The sequence below is a fragment of the Homo sapiens genome, chromosome 6 (assembly GCF_000001405.40).
Source record: "Homo sapiens chromosome 6, GRCh38.p14 Primary Assembly".
Lineage (NCBI taxonomy): Eukaryota > Metazoa > Chordata > Mammalia > Primates > Hominidae > Homo > Homo sapiens.
In genome coordinates this window covers 79,436,550-79,459,373 of record NC_000006.12, presented here as the reverse complement: position 1 = coordinate 79,459,373, position 22,824 = coordinate 79,436,550, and the positions used below count along the sequence as shown (strand labels likewise).

General features: G+C 39.8%; 2 long non-coding RNA genes and 1 pseudogene across 6 annotated transcripts in view, besides 1 other annotated feature; 2 read left to right on the top strand and 1 right to left on the bottom strand.

The window, feature by feature from the left end:
* The window catches only part of LOC100506851 (uncharacterized), an 84,650-nt gene that overhangs the window by 30,323 nt on the left and 31,503 nt on the right, over positions 1-22,824 (bottom strand). The gene's annotated exons all lie outside the window — the stretch shown is intronic.
* Positions 4,909-6,108: an enhancer, noted in NCBI's record as "MED14-independent group 3 enhancer chr6:80162983-80164182 (GRCh37/hg19 assembly coordinates)". NCBI's record gives its function as "activates an origin of replication core promoter dependent on BRD2, BRD4, P300/CBP and CDK7 cofactors, and independent of MED14, by STARR-seq in HCT116 cells {active_cell/tissue: HCT116}" and the evidence as "EXISTENCE:reporter gene assay evidence [ECO:0000049][PMID:35650434]".
* On the top strand, positions 12,452-15,334 carry LOC105377867 (uncharacterized). Its single transcript, XR_942714.3, has 3 exons — positions 12,452-12,942; positions 14,388-14,523; positions 15,242-15,334. It is a non-coding gene; the product is annotated as an uncharacterized LOC105377867 (long non-coding RNA).
* DBIP1 (DBI pseudogene 1) lies at positions 22,146-22,707 on the top strand (annotated as a pseudogene).

Here is a 22,824-nt window from a genome sequence, read left to right as displayed (position 1 = left end):
TCCTCCCTAACTCATTTTATGAGGCCAGCAACATCCTGATACCAAAGCCTGGCAGAGACACAACCAAAAAAGAGAATCTTAGACCAATATCCTTGATGAACATTGATGCAAAAATCCTCAATAAAATACTGGCAAACCGAATCCAGCAGCACATCAAAAAGCTTATCCACCATGATCAAGTGGGCTTCATCCCTGGGATGCAAGGCTGGTTCAATATACGCAAATCAATAAATGTAATCCAGCATATAAACAGAACCAAAGACAAAAACCACATGATTATCTCAATAGATGCAGAAAAGGCCTTTGACAAAATTCAACAACCTTCATGCTAAAAACTCTCAATAAATTAGGTATTGATGGGACATATCTCAAAATAATGAGAGCTATCTATGACAAACCCACAGCCAATATCATACTGAATGGACAAAAACTGGAAGCATTCCCTTTGAAAACTGGCACAAGACAGGGATGACCTCTCTCACCACTCCCATTCAACATAGAGTTGGAAGTTCTGGCCAGGGCAATTAGGCAGGAGAAGGAAAGAAAGGGTATTCATTTAGGAAAAGAGGAAGTCAAATTGTCCCTGTTTGCAGATGACATGATTATATATCTAGAAAACCCCATTGTCTCAGCCCAAAATCTCCTTAAGCTGATAAGCAACTTCAGCAAAGTCTCAGGATACAAAATCAATGTACAAAAATCACAAGCATTCTTATACACCAATAACAGACAAACAGAGAGCCAAATCATGAGTGAACTCCCATTCACAATTGCTTCAAAGAGAATAAAATACCTAGGAATCCAACTTACAAGGGACGTGAAGGACCTCTTCAATAACTACAAACCACTGCTCAATGAAATAAAAGAGGATACAAACAAATGGAAGAACATTCCATGCTCATGAGTAGGAAGAATCAATATCGTGAAAATGGCCATACTGCCCAAGGTAATTTATAGATTCAATGCCATCCTCATCAAGCTACCAATGACTTTGTTCACAGAATGCTTTAAAGTTCATATGGAACCCAAAAAGATCCCACATTGCCAAGTCAATCGTAAGCCAAAAGAACAAAGCTGGAGGCATCACGCTACCTGACTTCAAACTATACTACAAGGCTACAGTAACCAAAACAGCATGGTACTGGTACCAAAACAGAGATACAGATCAATGGAACAGAACAGAGCCATCAGAAATAACACCACATATCTACAACTATCTGATCTTTGACAAACCTGAGAAAAACAAGCAATGGGGAAAGGATTCCCTATTTAATAAATGGTGCTGGGAAAACTGGCTAGCCATATGTAGAAAGCTGAAACTGGATCCCTTCCTTACACAAGGAATTATACAAAAATTAATTCAAGATGGATTAAAGATTTAAACGTTAGACCTAAAACCATAAAAACCCTAGAAAAAAACCTAGGCATTACCATTCAGGACATAGGCATGGGCAAGGGCTTCAGGTCTAAAACACCAAAAGCAATGGCAACAAAAGCCAAAATTGACAAATGGGATCTAATTAAACTAAAGAACTTCTGCACAGCAAAAGAAACTACCATCAGAGTGAACAGGCAACCTACAAAATGGGAGAAAATTTTCACAACCTACTCATCTGACAAAGGGCTAATATCCAGAATCTACAATGAACTCAAACAAATTTGCAAGAAAAAAACAAACAACCCCATCAAAAAGTGGGTGAAGGACATGAACAGACACTTCTCAAAAGAAGACATTTATGCAGTCAAAAAACACATGAAAAAATGCTCACCATCACTGGCCATCAGAGAAATGCAAATCAAAACCACAATGAGATACCATCTCACACCAGTTAGAATGGCAATCATTAAAAAGTCAGGAAACAACAGGTGCTGGAGAGGATGTGGAGAAATAGGAACACTTTTACACTGTTGGTGGGACTGTAAACTAGTTCAACCATTGTGGAAGTCAGTGTGGCGATTCCTCAGGGATCTAGAACTAGAAATACCATTTGACCCAGCCATCCCATTACTGGGTATATACCCAAAGGACTATAAATCATGCTGCTATAAAGACACATGCACACGTATGTTTATTGCGGCACTATTAACAGTAGCAAAGACTTGGAACCAACCCAAATGTCCAACAATGATAGACTGGCTTAAGAAAATGTGGCACATATACACTGTGGAATACTATGCAGCCATAAAAAATGATGAGTTCATGTCCTTTGTAGGGACATGGATGAAATTGGAAATCATCATTCTCAGTAAACTATCACAAGAACAAAAAACCAAACACCGCATATTCTCGCTCATAGGTGGGAATTGAACGATGAGAACACATGGACGCAGGAAGGGGAACATCACACTCTGGGGACTGTTGTGGGGTGGGGGTAGGGGGGAGGGATAGCTTTAGGAGATATACCTAATGCTAAATGACGAGTTAATGGGTGCAGCACACCAGCATGGCACATGTATACATATGTAACAAACCTGCACATTGTGCACATGTACCCTAAAACTTAAAATATAACAATAATAATAATAATAAAAAGAAAGGGGAAAACGGCAATATCTTGGAAATTTTATTTGAAATAAATCCGAAGTCAATTATAGGTCAATCCAAAAATATGGTTGGATCCAAGGAGAGGCGTGATAGTCTACAGTGGGAGGTAATATCATAGAAACAACACTGGGTATCACCAGCCAAAAAGTCTTCTGTCTTTTTCAGAATAAATCTGAAGTGTTATCTTATTCTACTAAAGGTCTCATTACCCAAATGATGAGTTTTATGATTAGTCCTCTGTGCTCACAACCAGTGTTATCCTCACACGTAGACAAGTGGATGACAGTAGATGAATGTTTGGAACTTCGCCTGTTGTATGTTAATATTTCAGGATTTGAGGTCTCTTTATTACAAAAGTACAAATTGATTGAAACATAATTTGTTCTACTGTTTTCTGAATGTATTCTTTGCTTTTTTCCCCTTTTCATTAAGTACTCATTAAGTAATACAATGAAAATACAGATTTATACAGTTGAAACTCAATAATGCCGAAACATAGAAATATGCAAACTACGTAGAACCATCACAGTTTTGGGGTTGCTGATGGGACCATCATGATACTTCCTTGGCCACTTGCCATAATATGCACAGCTCTGTCCCTAGGGCTCAAGTGGGTCCAGTAACATCAGAGATGGGTCATTTTCAGTCCAGAGGATATACTGTCACTCCCAGCTGCACACTGCTGTAAACCATCCTGTAATGGTTTTGTATTATAATTTGGATATATAATGTATATTAAAATTATAGTTATAATGGTAGTTACAAAATGGATAATAACTTCAAGGGTATTTTTCTGTAAACAATTCCATGTCTGGCTCGCTTTCAGTGTTTCAGTTCCTTAATAAATGATCTGTACTTATTTGTTCACTAGCAAAGGATCTTTATGATATTTTTGAAAGTCTTTTTTCACCTCTGTGGTGAAATGAAAGTTCTTAAAATGTCATGTTCTGGCTTTAATAGGATGTTTACAGATTTTCTTGCTGCCCTTGCATCTCAGTATAGACAAGGCAGAGAGACACCTAAAAGAAGGTTACTCGGCCTTGGATATACTGGAAGTTCTGATTGGCAGCTATCCCCTTGTAGTTAGGCAAGACCCAGTTCCTCAGCCTGGAGAAGAAGCTGTAACACAGCACACAGCTCTTTCACCTCCTTGCACTTCAGAGCTGCTCCTGAGTTCATATGTCCTTAGGCAACTGTCAGGTTTATCAGATAATACATGAACAGCTGTCAGGTTTTTGCTTAGCTCACCATAGCCTCAAACACAGTTCAATCCTACTCTTTCTCCAGGGGCTCTTTCTATCATATAGCTTTCCCCCACCAGCATCAACTGCCCTCTTCCTTCTCCTGCACCTGACCAGCCTCTTCCACACCTTTGACATCATGTTTTTCCCACCCAAAATGATGCCTTTTACTCAACCCTTCTAAAAAACCTAGCAGCCCTTCAAAGCAAGCCCTAATGACCTCCTCCATTAGGAAGACCCCTCTGCTAAAACTCCTTCTAATTTTAGTTTCTTGCCTCCCTGACCTCCTGGTGAACTTACATTCATATGCTCATAAAGTGTTTAGTTGGAAGGACTTTGAAGGACTTTCAATTCAACATCCCTCTGAATGCAGTGCTTCATCCCAGGTCACGTTGAATTGGAAAAGGAAACACATTGCCCTCCTAGACTACCAGTCTGACTTTGGGCAGCTCTCTTATTAGGAGTTCTCCTTTACATTGAGCAACAGTCTGCTACTCTGCAACCCTTGGTTTTTTTTCTCTACAGCAAAATCAAATACAATAAAGTCACATTTTTTTGGCAAGGGTTTGTTTTTAAAGTAAACAGATAAGACAGATTCAAAATTACTATTGAAAATACCAGTCATGGGCCGGGCGTGGTGGCTCACACCTGTAATCCCAGCACTTTGGGAGGCCAAGGCTGGCAGAACACGAGGTCAGGAGATCAAGACCATCCTGGCTAACATGGTGAAACGCTGTCTCTACTAAAAATCCAAAAAATTAGCAGGGCGTAGTGGCGGGCACCTGTAATCCCAGTTACAGGGAGGCTGAGGCAGGAGAATCACTTGAACCCGAGAGGTGGAGGTTGCAGTGAGCTGAGATCTCGCCACTGCACTCCAGTCTGGGTGACAGAGTGAGACTCCATCTCAAAAAAATAAATAAATAAAAATAAAAAAAGAAAATACCAGTCATGTCTATGGCCATACCATGCTGAACATGCCTGATCTATGGGATCCACAAAATACCAGTCACTACCCAGAAATTGTAATAAACGCTGTTTTTTATATATAGTGCCTTCTTTTAGAGTGTCCATCATGGTTAGTTTTTTCTCCATTTTTAGAACAGATTTCTATTTATTTGGCTGCATTATAGATATAGTTATTGACTTGTAATTTAAAGGCTATTTATATATAAAAAATTGTTTTTAAATACTATAATCATATTAACATAGACATGCTGACAAGATGAAAGGCAGGGAACTAAGGTCGTTGAGGTAATAGCAGGTATATGTTCACTCCAGGAGACATCTACTCCCTCTCATACATTACAGGCTTCAAATAATTAACAGTAGCTCTTAGCAATCCCCAATTATTTTTGTTACTTTTGTCAATTTGATGATCTCCACTGTTTATTACTGCTCCTCCATGTTTTTACTCCTTTACCAGACAACTCTGATGTGGATATTACAAACGTCTTGGTTTCCTGACAAAGGACATAGTTTCAGGTTTAGAGATGTCGAATTGAGGCGAAGAGTAGGATAATCAAGCAGAGATTGTCCAGGAGGCCAACAGGCAGTTAAAGTTCAAGCAAAAGATCAAAACTGAAAATCTAGAATGTTGGAGTCACTCTCAGGAAGATGACAGTCTTGGCCTCGCGATTAAATTATGCAATTTCTTGGGCAGGGACTACTTCATATATTTCTCAATCCTCACAGTATGAAAGCAGCTCAGCAAGCCCTAAACAAATAGTTGTTGGATGACATTTCAATCTAAGTTCTAGGGAACCCAGAATATCAAAGCAAGTAATTTAGAAAGAAAGGGGGCGTATACTTGAGCAAGTTACATTTTTATGAACAATACAATCACCTTTTTCTCCATACCATCTGCAAACAGGCATGCATGCCTGAACATGCACACTCTGCCCACACAGCCCTTGGAAACTGGTCTCTGCAGAATTCTTCAGGTGCCAGGAGGGGGGATGTGGTGAGAGGCAGATGAAGAAGTCTTCAGGCTCCCCACCCCACCTCCAGCAGAGCAGCTCTGTTTTTAATCTCTTGTTCACATTGAGCCTCCTGGTAAGACTTTCTTGGACGAAAAGGTCTGAGAAGAAGGAGAGGAAGGGTAAGAGGGAGGAGGAAGAAGTGGAGGAGCTAGAGGAGAAGCAGGAAAAGATTAAAACCAGAGCTCTAGCCTACAGCAGAAGACCAATACAAAAGAGCCATCTGGGCATAAGAGGTCTCTAGGCTGGGACTATCCAAGCCATCATTTTTAGGGTTAACAGCTAAAGGACTCAACCTGCTTCTTGCTTCCACTCTACTCATCACAATCCTCATTTTTTTTACATTTTATTATTTATATATACATTGTTGAACTGACAGCATTACCATAGGGCACCACTGCATGAGAGAGAGCAAGAAGATAGCTCTGTCAAGCCTATTTTCCCATTTTGGAAAAACTAAATGATTTTTCTCTTTCCAGGGTCTCTGTAATGGCAGAGAAGTCTTCAGAATATACCTAAACTATGGTTGCTGTTTAGTGAAAATTCCAAATGTACCTTTTCAATATATACACAGAATACATACACAACAACTGGGATGCGTGGTGAGAAATGAAAATAGAAGATTAAGCATGCATGAGTAGAGGCAGGACCTGAGGGCATGGCTGAGTGCAGGCCAGGTGACCTACCCAGCTGGAGTGACAAGTGGCAGATAAAGCTGGAAAGTGAGCAGACATGGGAAGCCCCTGAATGCCCAAACGAACAATTGGGACTTTATTCCTTAGGCAATGAAGGACATCATTTTTTCTCTTTTTCTTTTTTCTTATTTAAGGAATAATCAGATGGGTGCACTTAGAGGATTAATCTGATGGAGGCAGGTGGGTAAGTAGGCCGACTAAACTCATGAGGTGTTTCTGTTCTTCACCTGCTTGAGCCTTGGTTTCCAAATCTCTAAAATACGGATAATGCTACTTTCATGGGATTGTAGTGAAAATTAAAGAGTAGCTGTTGTTGCCATTACTGATCTAGAGACTGTGTGGCAGGAAATTATGCATACAATCTCTGACATTAGACTGCCTGGGTTCAAATCCTAGCTCTGCTTGTAAACTCTATGACTTTGGGCAAGTTACATAAAATAGAGATGATAAGAAGAGTACCTACATCTTAGGACTACTGTGAAGGTTAAGGTTAATAAACGTGAGGTGTTTGGTAAGTACAATGCCATTGTCCAAGTCAGAGGTATAATTAGGATATTGCCGGTGGGAATGGAAAGGAGCAATTAAATTCAAGCAACATTGTTGAGATAAAATATGATGACCATTGTTCATGTGTGAAAGATAAAGGAGGGTTAAAATAACAGTGTGATTATCTTCGTAATGACCGAAAGAGTGGTGTCGTTAACAAGAACAGAGTCAGCAGGAGCACAGGCAGGCCTCGGAGGACAATTCATGAGTTTGTTTGGGGGTTAATATTGAGTATACTTACAAGATATCCATGTAGAGCTACTTGGCAAGTGGTCAGTATTGCAGGACTAGAACTGAAGGACAAGGCAAAGGCTGGATACCTAGGACCAAGGTGTTTATGTAGTAACATCAGTGGTTGAAATTATGACCTTAACTAAGACCATCAAGAAGAGAATAAAGAAAAAAAAGTTATGGCAGAAGATAGAAATTTTGGGAAGTTTAGAAAAGTCTCCTTTATATCTTGTTTTTAATGTATACAGTGTTATTTTTCCAGCTTATTTCAACAACGCCTGGGTGGCTGGGAACAATGGCTCATGCCTATAATCCCTGCCATTTGGGAGGCTGAGGCCAGAGGATTGCTTGAGGCCAGGAGTTCAAGACCAGCCTGGACAACACAGTGAGATCCCATCTCTACAAAAATGTTTTAAAAAATTAGCCAGGTTTTGTAGTGCACACCTATAGTCCCAGCTATCTGGGAGACTGAGGAGAGATGATTGCTTGAGCCCAGGAAGTTAGGACTAGAGTAAGCTGTGATATTGCCGCTGCACTCCAACGTGGGTGACAGAACAAGAATGGGGAGCTAATTTTTAGGAACTTTTCAAGTTATAAAAGTAACTCTCATTTACTGTAAACAGTTCATAAATATAGGATAATGCAAGAGGAGGAATAATAATGATTCCAAGCCCCACTATGAACATTTAGATGTATTTCCTTCCAAATAACTGTACTTTTTTCTTGCTCAATAGGAATTATACTATTTAAATAGCTTGTATTCTATTTTTTTTTCACTTAGAAATAGTATGATTCTCCCATGAGAATTTTCTCCTGTCATTAAAGATTTTAAAGGAGTGAGGAAGCAGGATATTTCCCTGACCCCATTGTGGGACTCGGGACAGGGATGCCTTGTTTACTCAGCCCGCTGCTCTCAACTCCTCGCAGGAGGAAGCATGCAAGCAAAAGAGGTGGGAAGTGGAGTGCACGAGTGCTGGAACCAGCTGACCAATTCAGTGCCAGCAGGATCAAACTTCACTCACTCTGACCTGCCTCATTGCACCCCTTGCGGAAGGGAGCACACAGGTGAGTGGGTGCAGGAGCCACAGCTAGCCCTTTTGGGCACTGGCGCAAGCGAACTCCATGCAGGACCTGCAGCATCTAGTTGGGAGTGCATGAGACCCCTGAAGCCCCAGAGGGTGTGTTACTGTGCTCTTTTAGCTCTGTCATCTGTGGATGGCTTAAGTGTTAACAGCTCAGTGGGCCCTCTGCCTTTTCATCTGAGGCAGCTGCCTTCCTCCAGTGAGGGCAAAGGGCCAGTGTGATAGCCTTTTGTATCCACACTCATGGCTCCCAAGCTCTTGTCCAGTGTCCAGGAAAAATGAGGTTGCATGAGCAAACTGAAGGATGGTAAATACGGGGAATTTTATTGCTGATGGAAGTAACCCTCAGTGTGAAAGGGAGCTGAAAAGGGGATGGGATGGGTAGGCAATCTTCCCCTCAGGTCCAGAAGTCCAGCCATCTCTGTCTGGACTCTTGCCTGAAATTACACTGTCAAGCTGTCCCTCTGAAGTCGAGCCACTTCTCTCTGATGTCCAGCCATAGTCCCTGACATCCAGCTGCTTCTCCTCTCTGCCGGCTGAGTCTAGGGTCCTCATAGGCACATGATGGGGCAGGGCAGGGCCAGGGGTGGCTTAGGAAAAGGCAATATTCAAGCAGGAAAACAGGGATATAAATTCTCACTTTGGGCTGCAGTCTCAGGCTTTTTGTCTTGAGAGTGGGGCTTCACCAGGGACCTGCCCTTTTCTTCCTAGAATTTCTCTCACCCCTGTCCCTATCGGTATCATGATGAATGGTTGCATAGTGCCCACACACACATTTCTTAAGACTGAGAATCAAACATGTGATCAAAGGTACATAATCATTTTTAGTTGAACTTCAGAGGGCAGAGTAGTAGCTAGGACTTCCTGTGATATTACACCTTCCATTTTGGGGCTAGGCTAAATCTCCCTCGCTCTAAGGAAATATAATCACAATGTAAAACATTTAAACTGCAATTAAAAAGAATGGCTGGGAGGCCAGATGCAATGGCTCATGCCTGTAATCCCAGCCCTTTGGGAGGCTGAGGCTGAGGCCAGAGGATTGCTTGAGGCCAGGAGTTCAACACGAGCCTAGGCAACATAATGAGGTCCCGTCACTTCAAAAATTTTTTAAAAAATTAGCCAGGCGTGGTAGTGCACACCTGTAGTCCCAGCTATTTGGGAGGCTGAGGAGGAGAGATGCTCACTTGAGCCCAGGAGGTTGAGGCTACAGTGAGCTGTGATCTCACCACTGCACTCCAACCTGGGTGACAGAACAAGACCCTGCCTGTAACCAAAAATAAAATAAAATAACAGCTGTCAACAAAATCAAGTGTATTATTCACACTCAATCTTTGCCGATTAGAATTGCAACCCAGAAAAAAGTATTAGTGTTTGGAAGCTACGTTATGTACTTGTAACAAAGGTGCTTTCTTGCTTTTTGGCCAAAAGGACTCTACCATCTACACATGAGTATTATAATAAAGACTTGATCTCAAGGTATTTTCATCCTGGCCAGGCACATGTGATCACTTTTCATGTAATTTACAGCAGTACTATGTGGGGAAAAAAGTGTTGATTTTCTTTACTTTATTATCAGAATTTCACAAGCTAAACGGTCTATTCAGGTGGGAGGAAGTGATAAATGTATTTCCTTAGGCTTATAAATTTGCGTTATCTGCAAAGGTATAATACATCAGCTTCTCCCATTAAGTCTCTTTATCAAAACGTCTTCCTTTGTTTACTCACCAGAAAACAGAAGAAGGTGGAATTAAAACTTTGTTGGTTTCTGATAATAAAACATACAGGCCAAACTATGGGAAGAGATGCAAATTCCCCTTGAATTCTGCTTCACCTGCCTGACAAGATAAATCTCTCAGCTAGCACATGTGATGTGTTTTCCAAATTATTTCTCTTTAGTAGATGCTACAAAATTGCTCTGACAGCACGGAAGACTGGCTTGTCAAAAGAAGAGGAGAGAAAATTATAATCAAAATGAATTCAGAATCCAAGGAAATTATATTTCTCCATCTCTCTTTATCAATGTTGTATGGGATTCATGTAGCTCATTCGGTGCAGAAGGGAAGATGACTGTTTCAAAGAATGGGACACACCAGTGTTTTTGACTGAAGCATGAATTTGCTTCACAACCAAGGAATGTTTAATGGATAGTAATGTTTTCTCTATTGAAATTCCAATAAAAATACAAGAATTTAGAAGAACATACAAAACAAAAGGAAATAAAAAACTTAAGAAGAAAAAGCCTTACTTCAAAAGGGACATTAACATTTCCTTGTATTCCTTCCTTTTGCCATGAGAAGAATGTTCCTTAATTAACTGCTGGTCCAAGGAAGATGAGTGACTCGTGTAGCAGACCTGGTCCCAACCTGCAGTGTGAGGCAAGTCTAACCAATCCACAGGTGCAGAGTGGGAAATAAATGCTTATTGTTGAATAACATTGAGATTTTGTGCTTGTTTGCTATGCAGTGTTATTGTGGCAGAGGCCCGCTAATGCAGCATGTATTTACCAGTATTGTTTTAAACTCTTTTTACACATTAGGTCATTTAATCCTCAGAACAACCCTATGTGGTAAGTACTAGTATCATCTCTACAATGCAGAAAGCTGAGACACAGAAGGTAATGAACTTGTCTGACGCTCCATAACAGTAAGTGGTGGAGCATTGGAAGGCAAGCTGCAGGCCCAGGGCCGGGGTGCTTGTGTGCTGGCCCCCATCACACACTGCTCATGCTTCCATTCCCTCTCAAAATTCTTACTCACCCGGAGTTGACTTCCCCCAAGTTAACAAGTGCTAAGTTTACCTTCTTTCTCTAATCCTTTACATAGTGATCTACTTATTTGTTCATATACCTTCTAGAAAATTTGAAGAACAGTGGAATCATATGAAATGTCATTTTATAGGTTAAAACAGTCAAATATCACCAGCCTCATTTGATTCAATCTACCCTGCCACACATTTTTTAAGTAATATCTAAATTTTTTCTTTCTAGATTAAATTGTTATAAAGATGGTAACTTCAAGAATATTGAAAATTCTGAATTTTCAAATAAAAATCCATCATACTGTTAATGTATCCAATGGAACCTAATACCACAGTTTTTTAAATTGAGGTACAATTCACATAACATAAAATTCACCATTTTAAAGTGTATGGTTCAGTGGCTTTTAGTACATTTACAACATTGTGGAACCATCACCTCTATCTAGCTCCAAAACAGTTTCATCATCATCCCAAAAGAAACCCCATATATATTAAACAGTCATTCTCCATTCCCTTCATCTCCCATCCCTTGGCAACTACTAATCTGCTTTCTGTCTCTGTGGATTTGCCTATTCTAGACATTTCATATAAATGGAATCATATAACATGTGGGTTTTTGTGACTGGTTTCTTTCACTTAGCATAATGTTTTTGAGGTTCATTCATGCTATAGTACCTATCGATACTTCATTTCCTTTAATGGCTGAATAACATTCATGGTATAGTTATAGCAAATTTTGTTTATCCATTCATCAGTTGATGGGTTGTTTCTGCTTTTATTTATTATTAATAATGCTGCTATGAATGTTCATGTACAAATTTTTATGTGAACATATGTTTTCAGTTCTCTTGGGTGTATACCCAGGAGTGGAATTGCTAGGACATATGCTGAGATTTGGCTGCTTTTCTTGATTAAGTGTTCCCCTGGTTGTTGTAAGCTTTTGATTACATTCTAGGTTCTGAAAAAGTTGGTTCTGACAGTTGTGCCACTTTATGCATGGCTTTTGTGGAGGGACAGACTTTTGGAATTCATACTCTGCCATTTTTGCTGATACCTCACCTACCAGAGTAACCTGATGCCTGTCTTCATCCATTTACAAAAATACATTTGTGGAAAAAAACTCAGAAAAGTCAGAAATTTTACATTGTTTCTTTTTTTGTCTTCAGCTTACATATTCATTCTTTATTCTCTGTAGAATTTTATCCTAATAAAATATATCTTTATGCTTAAAAGTTTTTTATTAATTACTGTATAATCTCTCTCTGGATATATATAAATTAAATTTTAAAATTCTTTGACTATATGCCCTTGCTATTGAAAAATTTCCCCTGGATTAAATTGGAATTATATTATTATAACTCATCATTAATTTAAATATATTAAACATATGATCATTCTTATCATATTTTTTGGAAACATCTGAAATGAATGGAGCACTCCCTTCCTTTCAGTTTATGTACCTTTGGATGAATCACTTATTGCTAAAATGAGGCAGGGCTCAGAGTGTGGAAATCTCATTTACATAAATAAGTTAACAAAATAGAAAAAGTCTAATTATAACGATGTCACTCATTTCTGTAAACATCAGCTGTATTGGATCAGCCAAAAACACATTATAATAAATAATAATTTTATTTTAATTTTCTATGTGTTGGATATCTTCTATTTACCATTCTAGATCTATACCATCCTCTTCTACCTTACTTCTTGCCTGGAGGCTGACCTGTATGGACTATATCAGCATGCTTGCCTTCTTGCGTCCAGCTGGATTTTACCAATGAGTACCTCTTGGCAGGAGATTAGAGGAAGAGAAGAGATGGCTATTTATTCTCCCAGCTCCTTCCCTGAAAAATTACATCCCCTTTCAAGGTAACCCTATCTATGCTATCTCCTTCTGGGTCCTAGTAAACGCTTCCTTGTATCCCTTTAGGCCCAAAGATATTGACAACCTTCTTGTTACTATTCTCAGGATATTACACTATCTTTGGTTTCTTTACATCCTGCTCACATTTGTAAATAGTTTATTTATTACACATATCTTGACCTTTTACCTAATGCATGCCATGTGTTTCTTGCCATGTGGCCACGGGTGGTTGCCGTGACTAATTCAGTCCGCCAGTGGGCAATACAATTATGTTTCTCTTAAATTCTGTTACAAGAAAAAAAGTATATACCACATAACTTGTAAAAGGATTTGTTGGACCAACACTTGTCCAATATGGTAGCCACTAGTCACATTTGTCTAAATTTAAATTAACTGAATGAAATCAAGTTTGAAATTTAATTCTCAGTCACATAAACCACATTTCAAGTTCTCAATATTCACGTGTGTCTAGTGGCTACAACATGGGACAGGGAAGACATCGGACATTTCCATCATTGCAGAAAGCAATGCTTTAGACAGTTATTTGTATAGTAAGTATGCAATTTAAAATCTACACTGGGACAACATTTATAGTTTTGAAAACTATTTATAAAATGAAAATTATTTTTCTTATATTCATTATCCTATAAAATCATTCCATTCAAAAATTATTTTCAAAAATAAAATTTTTCTTAAAAATTATTAATAAATACTATATATCCGATTTATGTAGACTGAAGCAAAATTTTTGTAAAGCTTATTTATGTTGAGTATCTGAACATTAAAAATAATATAAGCATAATGTATTAGAGTGATTTCAAACATACCTGCTATATTAGTTTCCTGTGACCGCCATAACCAAATACCACAAACATGGTGACTTAAAACAACACAAATTGATTCTCTCACAGTTCAAGGCCAGAAGTCCAAAATCAAGATATCAGTGCTTCCTTCAGAGGCTCTAAGAGATTCTGTTCCTTGTCTCTTTCAGCATCTGACAGATGCCAGCATTCCTTGGCTTGTGGCTGCATATGCCTCAATCTTCACATGGTTTTTCTTCTGCCTGTGTGGCTCTCCTTTGTGTGTCCCTTATAGGAACACTTGTCATTGGATGAGGGTCCCCCTAGGTAAGACAGGTTGATATCCTCATCTCAAGATCTTTAACTTAGTTACATCTGCAAAGGCCCCTTTTCCAAGTAAGGTAACATTCACAGGTTCTGGGAATTAGGACATAAGCATTTATTTGGGGGCCACTATTCAACCCACTGTAAGGACCAAGAGTTTTTTGCATATCATATTTGCTTGTGGCTTCTCTAATCAAGAGATGAGGGTAAACCATATCTGGTCTGATCTTGGGACTTGTTTTGACCAATAGAATACAGCAGACATGACATTCTAGGACTTTTGGGTCCAGGCCTGCAATGTTCACACAGCCTCTGCTTTTGATCAGAGGGAAAAACAGCTGCTATGTGAGGAAGTTCACTTATTGTCCTTGAGAGAGTGGCCACATGGAGAGAAAAAACCTCTGATGCATGAGACACTATGGAGGGATGTAGAAAGAAGCCCAGCCAGCCCCTGAACTACAGGTAAAAACTGGAAGAACAATGGGACTATTTATGGAAGTTAGAAGATCAGTAAGCAAATTATTATTGGAGGCTGGAGAAGAATGCCCAATATTAAGCAGTGAGGAAACATTTGAAAAAACTATTAAATGCAGAAATATAAAGATAGAAAATATACCTAAGGATTTTGTGGATCTGGCTAAGCAGGTTTCCAGGCAATTTTTTTTTTTTTTTTTTTGAGACAGAGTCTCGTTCTGTCACCCAGGCTGGAGTGCAGTGGCGCGATCTCGGCTCACTGCAACCTCCACCTCCCGGGTTCACATCATTCTCCCGCCTCAGCCCCTCTAGTAGCTGGGACTACAGGTGCCTGCCACCACGCCTGGCTAATTTTTTTGTCTTTTTAGTAGACACAGGGTTTCACCGTGTTAGCCAGGATGGTCTTGATCTCCTGACCTCCTGACCTCGTGATCTGCCCGCCTCGGCCTCCCAAAGTGCTGGGATTACAGGTGTGAGCCACTGCGCCTGGTCTCCGGGCAAAATTTTGCATGTGCAACTGGCTTCTGATATGGTTTGTCTGTGTCCCCACCCAAGATGTCCCCTCATCTTGAATTGTAACTCCCACAATTCCCACGTGTTGTGGGAGGAACCTGGTGGGAGGTAATTGAATTATGGGACAGATATTTCCTGTGCTGTTCTCGTGATAGTGAATAAGCCTCATGAGATCTGATGGTTTTAAAAACAGGAGTTTTCTTGCACAAGCTCTCCTCTCTTATCTGCTGCCATGTGAGATGTGCCTTTCACCTTCTACCAGGATTGTGAGGCCACCCCAGCCACGTGGAACTGTAAGTCCATTGAACTTCTTTCTTTTGTTGCAAATTGCCCAGTCTTGGGTATGTCTTTATCAGCAGCATGAAAATGGACTAATTGGTACCAGTAGAGTGGGGTGCTGTTGAAAAGATACCCAAAAATGTGGAAGTGACTTTGGAACTGGGTAACAGGCAGAGGTTGGAACAGTTTGGAGGGCTCAGAAGAAGACAGGAAAATGTGAGAAAGTTTGGAAGTTCCTAGAGACTTGTTGAATGGCTTTGCCAAAAATGCTGATAGCAATATGGACAGGCTGAATTGGTCTCAGATGGAAATGAGGAACTTGTTAGGAACGAGAGCAAAGGTGACTCTTGTTATGTTTTAGCAAAGAGACTGGTGGCATTTTGCCCCTGTCCTAGAGAGTTGTGATACTTTGAACTTGAGAGAGATGATTTAGGGTATCTGGCAGAAGAAATTTCTAAGCAGCAAAGCATTTAAAAGGTGACTTGTGTGCTGTTGAAGGTATTCAGTTTTATAAGGGAAGCAGCACATAAAAGTTCAGAAAATTTGTAGCCTGACAATTCAATAGACAAGAAAACCCCATTTTCTGAGGAGAAATTCAAGCTGGCTTGCAGAAATTTGCATAACTAACTAGGAGCCAAATGTTAATCCCCAAGACAATGGGGAAAATGTCTCCAATGTGTCAAAGGTCTTCATGGCAGCCCCTCCCATCACAGACCTGGAGGCCTAGGAGGAATAAGTGGTTTCGTGGGCAGGTCCCAAGGTACCTGTGCTGTGTCCAGCCTAGGCTGTGGCTCAGGCTGTGGTTTCAGAGGGTGCAAGCCTCAAGCCCTGGCAGCTTCCATGGGGTGTTGAGCCTGCCAGTGCAAAGAAGTCAAGAATTGGGGTTTGGGAGCCTCCGCCTGGATTCCAGAGGATGTATGGAAACACCTGGATGTCCAGGCAGAAGTTTGCTGCAGGGGCAGGGATCTCATGGGGAACTTCTTCTAGGGCAGTGCAGGAGGGAAATGTGTGGTTGGAGCCCCCACACAGAGTTCCTACTGGGGCAACACCTAGTTGGGCTGTGAGAAGAAAGCCACCATCCTCCAGACCCCAGAATGATAGATCCATCGATCACTTGTACCGTGCACCTGGAAAAGCCACAGACACTCATGCCTGCCATGACAGCAGCCAGGAGAGGGGTTATACCCTGCAAAGCCACAGAGGCTGAGCTGCCCAAGAGCATGGGAAACTACTTCTTTCATCAGTGTGACCTGGATGTGAGATTTGGAGTCAAAGAAGATCATTTTGGAGCTTTAAGATTTGACTGACCCACTGGATTTTGGACATGCATGGGGCCTATAGCCCCTTTGTTTTGACCAATTTCTCTCATTTGGAATGGCAGTATTTACCTAATGCCTATACCCCCATTGTATCTAGGAAGTAACTAACTTGCTTTTGATTTTACAGGCTCATAGGTGGAAGGGACTTCTTTTATCTTAGATGAAACTTTGGACTATGGACTTTTGAGTTAATGCTAAAATGAGTTAAGACTTTGGGGGACTGTTGGGAAGGCATGATTGGTTTTGAAATGTGAGGACATGAGATTTGGGAGGGGCCAGGGGCGGAATGTTATGGTTTGGCTGTGTCCCTACCAAAATCTCATCTTGAATTGTAACTCCCATAATTCCCATGTGTCGTGGGAGGAACCTGGTGGGAGGTAATTGAGTTATGAGGGCGGGCCTTTCTTGTGCTGTTCTTGTGATAGTGAATAAGTCTCATGAGATCTGATGGTTTTAAAAATGGGAGTTTCCCTGCACAAGCTCTCTTCTCTTGTCTGCCACCATGTGAGTCGTGCCTTTCACCTTCCACCATGATTGTGAGGCCTCCCCAGCCACATGGAACTGTAAGTCCATTAAACCTCTTTTTTTGGTTACAAATTTCCCAGTCTTGAGTGTGTCTTTATAGCAGCATGAAAACAGACTAATACAGCCTCTTATATTACATATTAAAAGGTATTGCAAAAATGATATTGACTAAGCAGGAATGATTCCATTTTCAAGTCAAATGTAGAGAAAATATTTCCAACTGAGGACTTGCTGAGTAGGAAAATAAAATATTTTCTCATTCCCACATTCTTGAGTTAGAAAAATATTCTAAAAGTGAGAAAGAGCCCCAGGAAAAAGATAGAATTCAGGAATTGTCAATAAAACGTGGCCTTAGTGTAAAGATCAAATCAACAGTGTAGTTACAAGATCCCTAATTTAACTCAGTGCCTCATCAACCTTCTCAGCTAGACAAAACAGCTTGTAAGAATTTTAAGAATATTATTCCACAACACTCTGACTCAAAGCCTGCATTAGAGAAGGTCTTGTCTTGAAGAGATTTGTATGTGTGACTTTTTCACTTATAAGAAGATTTATTTTGGATTTTGGATTTAGAATTTGATACACAGGAAGCACATTAAATTTCTTAAGGTATTATATCAGCTTGAACTAAAAAAGGACATGGAAGGTGAAATATGACAAAAGGTCTTTTTTTTAATTTCATTTTTCTCTGGGCCCTCAACTTGCTTTGCAAAAGGTAGACTGGGACAGCTACATGATGGCAAGCATGGAAAATTTCCTATGAACAAAGGAAATATGATTCAGAGGGTGGAGCCCAGAGCCCTGCAAACAGAAGTATAAGCTATTAGAAGCAATGGATTAGGTAATCACTTCCATATAGCAAAACTGAACCTGAATCAAGAAACATTCCTTGCCTTCAGATTAGGGGACACTGATAAGATGAGCCTGGCTGTAATTCAGAATTTCTGTTGACTAGTGACTGCTTTGTGCCTTCATTTCTCCCTTTTATAAATGAATGTCTAATATGGTTATTCTAGTCTGTCTTAACATTATATTGTTGGGCATGGAGGTACAGATAACTTGCATTTTTGCTTCACAGTTCATATCAAAAGGAGCTGCACTTATGAAATTTCATGCACATCTGTATGATCCCAATGTAGATCAAGAGATACTGGGCATAGGATTTGATATTATAATTTGTTGAGACTTTGGGAGTCTTTGGAACAGTTGACTATAGTTTGCATATGGAAGTAATGTGAGTTTTTGTGGCCAGAGGGCAGACTGTGGGAGATTGTATGTAACTACAGCCAGTAAGAATTATTTATGCACTTGCCAGTTCTCTGACCGAGAGAGCACATCTGTTTACTCATACCTTGAATCTGCACTGAACTTGTGATTTTTTTGACAAGTTTAATGCAGCAGAAGTCATATGCTTGGATTTTTGAGCCCAGACATTCAAATGTCATATAGCTTCTGTTTTCACTCAGAGAGGAAACAAGCAGCTATATAAAGAATCCATGTAAAGAGAGAGCATGTGCAGAAAAAGAGGCCCCAGAGTATAAGAGCCTGTGAAGGGAGAGATAGAGAGGATCAGCCAGGTCCCAGCCACTTCAGTCAAACATTAGAGAAATGTGACATGTGAGCAAAGCTATCATGGATTCTCCAGTCAATGCACATGTTGCAGAAATGAGCTTTCCCTTTTGAGCACTGCTTAAATTCCTGAACAGCAGAACTGTGAGAGTTAAATGATGGTTTTAAGCCAACAGTGTGACACAGGTTCACTGTGCACTGGTTACCAACTTGTCTGAATCCAGTGAGATAGAACTGTCACATACAAGTTCCATGAAGCAGGCTTATTACTTACAGATAGGGAGCAAGGGACAATAGAAGCCTAGGATTCACTATGAGCCAGTCCCCTCTCTACAGGGGGCAGAGGGATATCATACACCCATACCTAAGTAAATGTTTTATTTTAAAGAGTCCAGTTTACTCTGCTGGGAATTACCAGCAAAGAAAAGAGAAGGTATTGAGTCCCTAGTAATTGTAGAGTTTACAAAAAGTAAATTGATGATTGCTATTAAATAAATTATGTATCACAAAACAACATCAAATAGTTGAATAAACACAATAACTGAGGAGTGACAGTGAGCAGGAGATTCGTGTCTCTGTTAAATAAAATAAAGATGATTTTTCTTATAAATGGCCTTTTTGGAAAAACTTGATGCAAGTAAACATGGACATTTTTGTCGCTTCTTCCTTGAAACCATGCACATATGCAACTGAGACACAGGCCATGATGCAGGTTAATAATGCAAATTATCAAGCTCATTCTCACTACTGAGAATCATAAAGATGCAGAGAGAACACACATCTTAACCGACTGGAACTTCCTAGCATGGTTTCCGGTTAAATATTCTAGTTAAATAGATAAAAACCTTTGATAAAAAATTATTTCATAAGTTTGTCACTTGTACAAAATAACACACCTATGCCTTCAATATTTCTTACTGATAATCTCTTTTCTTTTCCTCTGCCAATATATCATATTTCAATTTTGACATTTTAAACCCTTTGGTTTGATGAGGGTTTTTTCCACCCTGGAAAAATGTGTGTAGTTGGATTCAAGAAGAGTAAAAGGTTTGTTCTTGAGTACATTGGGAGAAAGGTGATAGTGGTGAGAGATAAGAGGAGAACTACCAGAGGGATATACTGTAGGCAGGTGTGTTTTAGGAAAGAGAACATATGGAGGGTAAGGACTTGGATTCTTTAAAGAAATTATTTATTAATTTCAACTTTTATTTTAGGTTCGGGGGTACATGTGCAGGTTTTTTACATAGGTATATTGTATGATGCTGAGGTTTAGGGTATGAATGATCCCATCACTCAAGCAGTGAGCATAGTACCCAATAGGTAGATTACTAGTGGTCTCTAGTGTCTATTGTTCCCATGTTTATGTCCATGAGTATCCAATGCTTAGCTCCCACAATGCTTAGTTCTCACTTATAAGTAAGAACATGCTGTATTTGGTTTCCTGTTCTTGACTTAATTCACTTAAGAACCTGGATTCTTTAAAGCCACCCCCCATGACCCCACCCAACATGGTCTCTTAGGGCAAGTCGGCATGTACTCTGATATACCCAGACTCGTTTGAAGAGTGCTACTTTACATTATCTTACATTGGGTAATCAAGCTTTTTAATTGTTTATCCACAATGGGTTAATAGCTACTACACTGTCATAGCCTGCAGTGTTGATGTATTCACTTCTGCCCAGGAAGGCGAGAGTATTTTGTGTGATCCTCATTTTTGTGACTTTAAATCAGATGAGACTTCAAATTTACACATTTTCTTCCATTGCTCTGTGCTTTATTACATGGTTAAGTGCTTTAAGATTTATTAAATCCAGGTGTTTTATTTCTCAGTAATCACCAGAACTCACCTGATTTGATTATGCCAATCTGTTATTTTTAAGAATTGTTTTTTTTAAAATATTCTTTCCCAGTTAATATTGTATATGTGGCTTTCTTGATTTAAAAATATATTAAGAAATGTTGTAATTTTATGAAAGATCATGTGAAAAAGTTTACTGAAGCATTTGTTTTCCTTATGCTATTAACAAAGCTTAATAACAAAGAATGTATTCTAGAGTAATATTTGGGGCTATTTCTAAAACACATTTCTTGCAGTGATCTCTACACTTTCCTCATGAATACAAAGCAATGTGTTTCTGTTTTTCTGGGCATAGAAGTGGATAGCACAATGATATAACTCCTTATTCACAACATCATTGCAGCTCCATATTAAAAACATTTTTGCTTAAATAATGAGCATTTTTGCTTATCCATAAAGAACCCACGAGACACAAAAAAATGTTTTTCCCAGATGGTCCTTTTTGCATGAAAATTACTAACCCAGACATCAAAAGCAAACAATAAAGTGTTGAAATATGTAATTTGGGCCAAAACAACAGAGTCTGGAACTTCCACGGGCTTTGTGATTTTAAGAGAACAGCTGGGTGTGTGCAGGCAGTCAGCCCAGCTATGACTCTGAACCTCTGTTGTGTTTCTTTTTCTATACAGTCACTATGGGTACAGTTTCCTTCTTTTGGAAATGGAAGCATGGTTATAATAATTCTTGAACTTGAGAAAGGCATAGGCATTTGCTTACCTTTTATAAAAGGGGTAAATCATTTTTAGTATTTATGGTGTAATCAGTTGTTTTTGTTTGCCTGCTATTCATTTGCGTTTTTGCTGGTAAAATAACCAATATGTTCCTTGGGGAACTACCCCTTTCTCCACAGACTCAGCCATGGTTGTCCCACAAGACACATAGCCTTGATTTCAAGTTGTCTAGGAATCAGCCATATATAATACAATCACAACCTCAGTCCTTTCGTCAGGATACACCCACAGCGCTGGAGGTACTGGTCCAAGGAAGTTTTGGTATCAGCTGTGCACTAAGTCCAGAATGAGTGCTTCCTCCATCTGATTAAGGCCCTGACACTGAATCAGGGTCACCAATGCAGACTCTTCTCCCTTATCACAAATTCTATCTTTGGACTTAATTACCTTTGCTGGTCATCTTCACCAGGGCTTTGGAGGCCCATCAGGCCATTTTGACAACTCTGAACTTGAGAGTGGAAATCTGAGCTGGACACTCACTTGAGGAGGGCTATGAGACACCATCTACTCAAAGGGCCAGAGCCCTGGTCGAGATCTCACAAAGATCCAATTATCTCCCCTTATCAGCTCATGGGTGGTTATTTCCTTTACATGTATATCACACAAGGAACAATTTGGGGATTCCCCCACCCACCCCGAAAAAGAATCCAGCTCCAAAGGTAAACTGACATCTCCGTTATCAGAGACAGAAAACTATCAACAATTTTTAAGGAACCTGTTACCAGTTTAAAAGAAAATAGTACTATATATACATATATATAGTGCATCTTTAAAAGAATTAGGCAGAGTATACATATTTAATTTTAAAACTATGATGATTGCTTCCTGCTCCTCTCCTCCTCCACGGGCTCCCTGGAGTCCTTGCAAGCTGGCCAGGATGTCTCAGGCTGAGTTTGAGAGAGCTGTGGAAGACGTTAAACACCTTAAGACCAAGCCAGGGGATGATGAGATGTGTTCCTCTATGGCCACTACAAACAAGCAACTGTGGGCGACATAAATACAGAATGGCCTGGGATGTTGGATTTCAAAGGCAAGACCAAGTGGGATGCCTGGAATGAGCTGAAAGGGACTACCAAGGAAGATGCCATGAAAGCTTACGTCAACAATGTAGAAGAGCTAAGGAAAAAACATGGAATGTAAGAGACTGGATTTGGTTGCCAGCCATGTGTTTATCCTAAACTGAGACAGTGCCTTGTTTTTCCTAATACTGCAGATGATGGAAACTAGGGAAAATAACCAGTTAACCCAGCTCCTCAAGGCTGCTCACCATAGGGCTCTAACAGATTAGGGGCTAAAACAATTACTGACCTTCTCTGAGTAGTTTTTATCTGATATCAATTAAAAGTGTATTTGTGTTAAAAAGAGAAAACTATAATGAACGCAGGTTTTGGATAATTAAGAAGCAACCTCAACAAGTTTCTGAGATCCATTATTATAGAAGTATGGAGTAACAATTAACAGGGCATTCTAGTTAACAGAAGCCTGAACACAAGAT